Below are 8,991 nucleotides of genomic sequence, written 5' to 3'. Positions count from 1 at the left end.
GTATCCATTTGCTTTCAAGTATGGCAAAAAGGTAAATAGCATAAGAAAATTATTTCAGCTCTCTCACTGCTAACCTAGGCTGTAGGGCATGACTTAGATTTGAAGCATGGCTTTGTTTCAATATCAAATTTCAGGATAAAATTAGCCCATCCAGGCACAGGAAATACTGGAGAATTGCAGCACTAACCCATAGGCTTATCTCCTTAAAAGATGTAATGGAGTGTTTATTGTGCTCAAAATATGAAATATATTTTAATCTCTCATTATCCCTTACAATTTTAGAGTGAAGAAAATCTTCCCCTTTCCTTGGATTACTATTTTAGCTTACTATGATTTCTGTTCCTTTTAGGGTAACAGATCATGACTGCAATCACTTTAAAGTGAGAAAACAAAACGCCAATTCTGTGAATACAATGTCCAGATCAATATAATAATGCAAACTCTGAACTTGTTTTAATTTAATATTCTTTCTCCCATGTGAGCATATTTGCAGATAATAAGGCCTTTGGCTCTCTCCCTGCTCACTTTCTGCTTTCTTCATTAGCTGGTGTGTGCGTGTGTGTGCACATGTGCCTGTGTGCCTGTGGTGTGTGTGTGTGGGTGTGGGTGTGTATCAGATAGAGGAGAGGTGGGAGAGGGAGAAGAAAAGAGAGAGGGGAGAAGGAAGAGGAAAAGGCAGAGGAAGAGAAAGAGAGGGTTTGCAAACTTTATAACATCCACTATTATTTCTAGTTTTCTTACAGACCCACATTAGCATTCCTGACATAGAATTCTAAAGAAGTCACTTAGCTAGAGCTGGCCAATCTCATAGAAACACATTTGCTTCCACATTACAAATAGCTTGGAAGGCTAAGGTGGGAGGATTGCTTGAGGCCAGGAGTTCCAGACAAGCCTGGGCAACAAAGTGAGACCCCCATCTCTACAAAAAATAAAATAATAATTAAAACAATAGCTGGGTGTGGTGACATGTGCCTGTAGTCTCAGCTACTTGGGAGGATGAGACAGGAGCATCACTTGAGCCCAGACATTTGAGGCTGCAGTTAGCTATGATCACGCCACTGCACTTCGTCCTTCAGCCTGGGCAGCAGAGTGAGACCCTGTCTCAAAAAAAAAAAAAAGTGAAAAATAGCTGAGTTGCAGCAGACAAAACAGAAAGCAATTCAAGTCACTGTTTTTCAGAAGTTAGTTTTTCAGAACTATATTCAGAAGTTAGTTGATGTGCATCCTATCTGGTGCATCCTATCAAAGAGATGTGGCTAGTAGCATGCATGAATGATGCTAATGGCTGTCCTGGGACTATGAGGAGCTGTCTGGGCTGTCTGACCACCTCTTTCCCAGGTGGAAGGGTGAGATCAGCATCTGGGAAGGGCTCAGCATTCTTATAGTCCCCTTTTTGCTTTATTCTAATAATCGAGGGCTTGCTACCTATATTCCATCTCTCTCGTTTTCAATTGCCAAGACTGTGATAATTTCCACTTGGTTTATTTTCTCTTCTTAAAATCCCATATTTAGAACTAAAATTCACATATTAATGTTTTATTGACTCAACTATTTTCTCTGGTTCAAGGTACTCATTAAATATAAACTTTAAGGAAAATTTCATCTGTGGGTGAAACATCTTTAAGCCAATAACTGAAAATGAGTCAGGCTGAAAGATTTGATTGAATTATCACTTTCCCAGTATGGAATAACAATGATAACATTATTTAGAATGTCTTTAATCCTACACAGTGTAAATTTTAGCATGGTATTATTTTATTTTAATTTTTTTATAAATATTCAGTTCATTGCCATTGTCAATTTTTATACTTGGCTATTAGTAGTTTTCAGAATACTTTGTAAGACATTTTCACATAGTCTCTTCAAGGTATAGAATAAGTCATTTTCTAAGTTATCTGTCTGTATTTTAAGATGTATTTGAAGGATATACTATTTTAGTTAATGTTTTTCTCAACTTTTTCCACCTATGCTACTGTATTATATGCTTTCAGGTTAACTTTATTGTCAATATATGAGAATTAATAAACAACTTACAGATATATGCATGTGAATAAACCTCATGTGTATACGTTATGTGTGTATTTTTCTTAAGGTTTAGTTATTTGTATTTTTTCCGGAATAAGTCCCTGTTAAGTATTTTGATTTAGTAGTTAATTAATACATTCCTGAATTGTATTTGTTGCGTTCAATTTAGGATTCTTGCATCTATTTTATAAATAATACAGGACTATACATTTTTATTTTTTCCTATTACTGTCAAATTTTGGAATGAGTTTTGTAACATCTATATAAACTGAATTGGGAGAAATTTTCTTGTTTTGTTCTGACTAGAAAAAAATAATTATAAAATTAATGACCAATACTTTCCAAGTATGCAAGTAGAGCATCTTATTATTCATCTAAGGAGTATCAGTAAAGCTTGGAAGATACAATGCACAATTAGGCTAAAGTAAGCAATGAAATAGTCCTACCACACATTAAATATGGCAAGAAAATTTCAGTGAGGGTATATATATTTACCAGATGAAAAAACTTGACTGATATAAACTTGAGGCCCTAAGATAAAATATGTAAAGAGGTTTAATGTATTACACAGTATTTAGTAAGTGATTTTTAAGTGAGCATCAGTGGATGCATTTATGTATCTCTGGGTAGTTTCTTAGGGAGTAAAAAGCATACCTTTGAGTGGATTTATTCATATTAGAGAGAAATGGTGAATGGTTTTATTTTGGGTTTTTTTTGCCTAATAATTAAATAGTTTACTCTTATTATCTTAAAGTCTTACTCTGCTTTTCCAAGGCATAGAACTCAGATAAAAGATTATTGAGTTAAAAATAAATGGACATGATAAATCAGAAGATTTATTTCATAATAGGTTTTCTGATTTCTATAATTGGAAAAAGTCAAGACTTTAAACTGTTACCCAGTGGTTTCCTCATATTTTGTAATATAGATCAAGCAATCGATAGCATATCTACACTGTGCCTGCATGTTTAGCACAAGCTTAGCACATGTTATATCATCAATAAGCCTAAATCATTCTAAATCAATCAGTTGCAGATGGTACCCTATTTTTATGTAAAATATAGCAAGGAGGCTAGAGTTAGAAAGTCCCAATTGTTTCCACAGATGGTTTAAAATTTAGTAGCTAGCATGAGAGAAACAGACAACAATTATACAAGAAGGAATAAAATAAATATTAAAAGAGAGATACAGTCAAAATGCTATGGACATTCAAAGAATGAAGAAAATATAGAAAATAATAAGTTGAAAATACAAACCAGAAGTTTATATAAAATTATAAAGCAAAAAATAGAGCCACAAAATGTTAAAGGCAAAAATAACCATACAGAATATAATTAAAATGAAGACATATGAGATTTACATATATTGAGACTCAGTAATAAAGAAATAATTAGATGGTTAAGTAATTCAATAAACATATGTTGAGCTGCTAGGTTTAAAAAGATAAATAAGATTAACATAGCCACTGGCTTCTTATCACTTACACTTTAGTGGAAGAAAGAGATAAGTAAACAGCAACTTACAATAAATTTGATAATTTTAAAAAGGAAGACTGTAAATATAGGCCTAGCTAACTCACATTTTGTGGATCAGAGAAGGTTTTTCTGGACACAAAGGTAGATTCTATATTAGGCCTTAAAAATGGGTAGGAATTATTCAGTTGGTATGAAGGCTTCTACAGTGATAATGTACAGACATGCAAGCATGTCTGTTTATCTGTAAAGGAACTGTGGAACTTTGTCATTAATATCTGTGTAACTATTTTCTGATTCCTTCACTTGACATCCATAACAACACTGTGCATCTCTGTACTACAGGCCTGTCTGGCATCATGAACCCTAACAGGTATGTTGACTCTGGTTGTTGGCATAATTTTTCCCTTATGACTTAAAGTAATTCAGACTCCCTTATGGGGAAGGATAATAATAGCAGTGCAGCTTTAAATTAGTCCTCTCTTCAAATCCCCTAAGAAAAACAAGCAGGGTATCTAGGATAGGAAAATAAATATTTCATGTAGAACACCGTTTATGAAGCGACATGACAAGGATTCTCCAGGAACGATGAAAGGAGGGTGCGAAATAAAGCAACATAGAAATCTAGGCACCACAAGGAAAGAATCCAGGTCTACCAGCAGTGCATAGGTGGTAGGGTGGAGAAAGAGGAACTTCAACAATTCAAGAGCACAGGAACACAGAAGATGCGAATGAGTACTCACTGGAAAATTCAGAGGACCTGATACCAGCAAGTAACTATGGTAACAACAGTGAAAGAGGAAGAGGCCTCTGCAAGCTTCATTTTGTTTAAACAGATTTACTCAAACATAATTTACATCATATAAAATGTACTTGTCTTAGGCATACAATACAGTTTTTAGTAAAAATATAGGGTTGTATAACCATCACAACAACCCAATTTTAAAATATTTTCATCATTCCAAAAACATCCCTTGTTTCTTTCCCAAGTACTTCGTATAGCCAACTTCAGTTGCAGGCAACCACCAATCTACTTTCAGATTTTTTAATGCACAATTCATATACATTCAATCATAAAATATGTGAGAGGGTTTTTTTGTGCCTGGATTATTTTTAATAGTATAATTTTGTTGAGGGTCATCTGTGTGGCAGGTATCAGTACTTTGCTTCTTTTTATCATTGAATTGTTATTCCACTGTATGGATGTACCATATCTTCCTCTTCACTTGCTGGTTGATAGGTGTTTGTTTTCAGTTTTGGTGTATTATGGATTGGGCTGCTATAAACATCACATAGAAGTCTTTGTGTGGGCATGTATTTTCATTTCTCTTGGGCAGATTCCTGTAAGTGGTATTGCTGAGTCATGCTTTACATTTACATTTAAGTTTTAAAAACCATTTTACAAAGCCACTATACCATTTTACTTTCCCTCCTGTAATGTATAAGGATGTACATGTATTGGTGTCCGTCTTTTTTTTTTAGAACCATTCTAGTGGGTGTTATGTAGTATGACATTTTTGTTTTAATCTGCATTCTCCTAATTATGATGCTGAGTGTCTTTTTCCATGCTAATTGGTCGATGTACATCTTTTTGTTGAAATGTCTGTTTTTTTTTATTTGTTTGTTTTTTGAGACAAGGTCTTGTTCTCTCACCCAGGCTGGAGTACAGTGGTTCAATCATAGCTCACTGCAGCATCAAATTTGTGGGCTCAAGCAATTATCCTGCCTCAGCTTCCTGAGAAGCTAGGGCTATAGATATGAGGCACTATTTTTGGCTAACTTTTAATTTTTTTGTAGAAATGGGGTCTCAGTATGTTGCCCAGGCTGGTCTGGAATACCTGGCCTTAAGTGAATCTCCTGCCTGTCTCCTAAAGTGCTGGGATTGTACCCATGGAACCACTGTGACCATCCTGAAATTTCTATTGAAAACTTAAGCCCATTTTTAAAGTGGGCCATTTGTCTTCTGGTTATTGAGTTTATGTCCTTTGCTGGGACATGGATGAAGCTGGAAACCATCACTCTCAGCAAAGTAACACTAGAACAGAAAACCAAACACTGCATGTTCTCACTCATAAGTGGGAGTTGAACAATGAGAACAAACACATGGACACAGGGAGGGGAACATCGTGCACCAGGGCCTGTTGGGGGTTGGGGGACTAGGGGAGGGATAGCATTAGGAGAAATACCTAATGTAGATGACGGGTTGATGGGTGCAGCAAACCACCATGGCACCTGTATACCTATGTAACAAACCTGCACGCTCTGCACATGTACCCTGGAACTTAAAGTATAATAATAATAATAAAAGAAAGTAAGCTTACTGTAGAGGTATGGCTTTAAAAATAATAATAATAATAATAATAATAATAATAATAATAATAATAATCAGAATACATTTTGAATACAAGTCCTTTGTCAAAATTAGGATTTGGAAGTACTTTCTCCCAGGTTGTATCTTGTCTTTCGATTTTCTTAAAGGTGCCCTTTGAAGTATAAATGTTTTTAGTTTTTACCAAGTCTGATATAACACATTTTTCTTTTATAGACGGTGCTTCTTTATAGTATTTAAGAAACATTTTCTTTTTCTTTATAGTATTTAGTACTATAAAGTACTATATGACTCAGCAATACCACTTACAGGAACCTACCCAAGAGAAATGAAAATGACCATAAAGTACTAACTATATAATGCTTTATAGTGCTAACTATAAAGTGCTAACTATATTGTAGCAGGACGAGCCACAGACAAAACCTCTCAGACACTGAGTTGTAGAAGGAAGGGCTTTGTTCAGCTGGGAGCATTGGCAAGCTACTGCCTTAAAATCCCAGCTCCCCGAGTGTACAATTACTGTCCCTTTTAAGGGCTCACAACACTAAAGATTTCACATGAAAGGGTAGTGATTGATTTGAGCAAGCAGGGGGTACGTGACAGGGGCTGCATGCACCGGTGGTCAGAGAGAAACAGAACAGGGCAGGGAGTTTCACAGTGTTCTTCTATACAATGTCTGGAATCTATGAATAACATCGGTTTCTAAGTTATGAGTTGATTTTTAACTACTGGGTTTAGGCCAGGCAGGACCAGGCCTGGTTTCAGGCCTGGCTCTGGGCTGCCTGTCTTTGGTTTTACTTCCTTGTTGTTTTTTCTTAAAACAGGTACTGAGTATAAAACAATATAAAATAATATGAGAGGGTCTTTCTCTTCCTTCAATATGGTACTCTACAGTACTAACTATAAAGTACTCTACAGTACTTTATAGTACTTTATATAGTACTATATAAAAATATATATATAGTACTTTATATAGTACTGTATATAAATGTATATATTTATATATAAAGTACTATAGAGTACTTTATAGTACTTCTATATAGTATTTAAGAAACAGCTTTGTTCCCTTTATTTATTTAATAATGTTAGCTCTTTCATTTAGATCTCAGATCTATCTTATTTTTGAGTATGATTTTTAAGACAGTTTAAACTTATCTTTTATGTGTGAATATCAGTGGTCCCACCACTATTTATTGCAAAGACTATTATTTTCCCATTAAATTAATGACATTCAACTTGTTTTGAAAGTTAAGTGACAATAAATATAAGAGTTTATTTCTGGATTCTCAATTCTGTTCCACTGATTTATTAATATATGTCTATCTTTGTATCAGCCCCACACTTTATAGATTATAGTAACTTTATAATAAGTTGAAATTGGGAAGTGTGACTCATCCAAATTTGTTCTTTTTTAATATTATTTTGGTTATTCTATGGTCTCTACCTTTTTGTATAAATGTTCGAAGTAGCTTCTCAATTTCTGAAGGAAAAAAAAAGCCTGCTAGATAATTGATAGGGTTTACATTGAATGGTAGACAAATTTGAGAAGAATTGCAATCTTAATTACACTGAATCTCACAACCTATGAACATGAAAATTCTCTCTGTTTATCTAAGTATTTTTTCATCTCTTTCAGCGACACTTTACACTTTTACTTTATAGATCTTATAATTCTTTTGATAATTTACAACTTTTTTGATGCTAATGTATTTGAGTTGTCTTAATTTTGTTTACAGACTGTTCATTGTTAGTATATAGAATATAATTTACTTTTTTATTGATTTTGTTTATCCTGAAACCTTGATGAATACATGTATTTATTTTTATTATAGCATATTAGGCTATAAATTGGAAATTATTTTTTAAATAAATTTTATTGTGCGTATTCAAAGTATTCAGCATGTAGTTATGAAATGCACAGATAGTAAAATGATTACTGTAGTGAAGTATATTCACATATCCATCATGTCACATAGTTACCCATTTTTCGTGGTGCATGGCAAAAACAGCTAGAATATACTCATTTAGCAGAAATCCCTAATACAGTACAATTTTATTAACTCATGTTGTCCGTTAGATTTTTAGACCATTTCATCCCATTTATATGTGGCTTTATGTCCTCTGACCTACAACTCCCCATTTTCTACCACTCCCCCACCCCTGGTAGGCACTATTTTATTCTCTACCTCTGTATATTTGGCTTAAAAAATTGGATTCCACATATGAATGAGATCATGCAATATTTTGCATCCTGTGTCCAGTTTATTTCACTTAGCATAATGTCCTTCAGGTTCATCTGTGTTGTAGCAAATGGCATGATCTCCTTTTTAAAAACTGAATAATATTCCTCCAAATATATGGAATATAGAAGATATGTATATACCAATTTATCCATTCATCCATCTATGAACAGTTAGGTTGTTTCCATACCTTGGCTATTGTGAATAATGCTGCAATGAGCATGGGAATGCAGATATCTTTATGAGATGGCAATTTTATTTCTTTGGGTATATAATCAAAAAGGGATTGCTAGGTCATAGGATAGTTTTATTTTTAACTTCTTCAGGATCCTCCATACTGTTTTCCAAGAGGGCTATACCAGTCTATGTTCCCACCAACAGTATGCTAGGGTTCCTTATTTTTGAAATTCTAATAGTTTATTGTTTTTATGTATTCTTTATCATTTTTACATACAGAGTCATGTCATCTGTGAATAAAGTCAATTTTATTTCATAATTTCCAAATGATGCTTCAAAACAAATGTTTTGCAGTTAACAGTGTTTTTCTATTTTTTAGTTGGTTTTTATATATACAATAGGAATTTACATTTCTAGGAATTCACTTTTGTATGTTTATGTTAATTTACATTTAACTAACTTAGTAAATTTACCGCTTCCAATTACTATACCATAAAGATAATTGTGTATTTTACTTTGCAATTTACATAAAATTTAAAATTTCTTACTTGTTTTATTGAATTTGATAGAATAGTCAGTGTAGTGTTGAATAGAAGTTGATGCAGTGTATGTCTGCCTCATAGCTGACTTTAATAAGCTATCTTTAATGTATGTTTCTTTATTAAGAATGGCATTCCTGTTGATATTGGATCCAAACAACTTCTTTGTCTGGTTACTGATGTATCCTTGATCTCCTTAAATGAAAAAT

General features: G+C 33.6%; 1 annotated feature.

Annotated features, from left to right (window-relative positions):
- Positions 6,487 to 6,546: an enhancer, noted in NCBI's record as "active region_28259". NCBI's record gives its function as "activates an Ori minimal core promoter by ATAC-STARR-seq in GM12878 lymphoblastoid cells {active_cell/tissue: GM12878}" and the evidence as "EXISTENCE:reporter gene assay evidence [ECO:0000049][PMID:35858748]".

This window comes from Homo sapiens, chromosome 9, assembly GCF_000001405.40.
Source record: "Homo sapiens chromosome 9, GRCh38.p14 Primary Assembly".
NCBI lineage: Eukaryota > Metazoa > Chordata > Mammalia > Primates > Hominidae > Homo > Homo sapiens.
The sequence above is the reverse complement of the archived record's forward strand: the minus strand, read 5'-3'. Positions and strand labels throughout refer to the sequence as shown.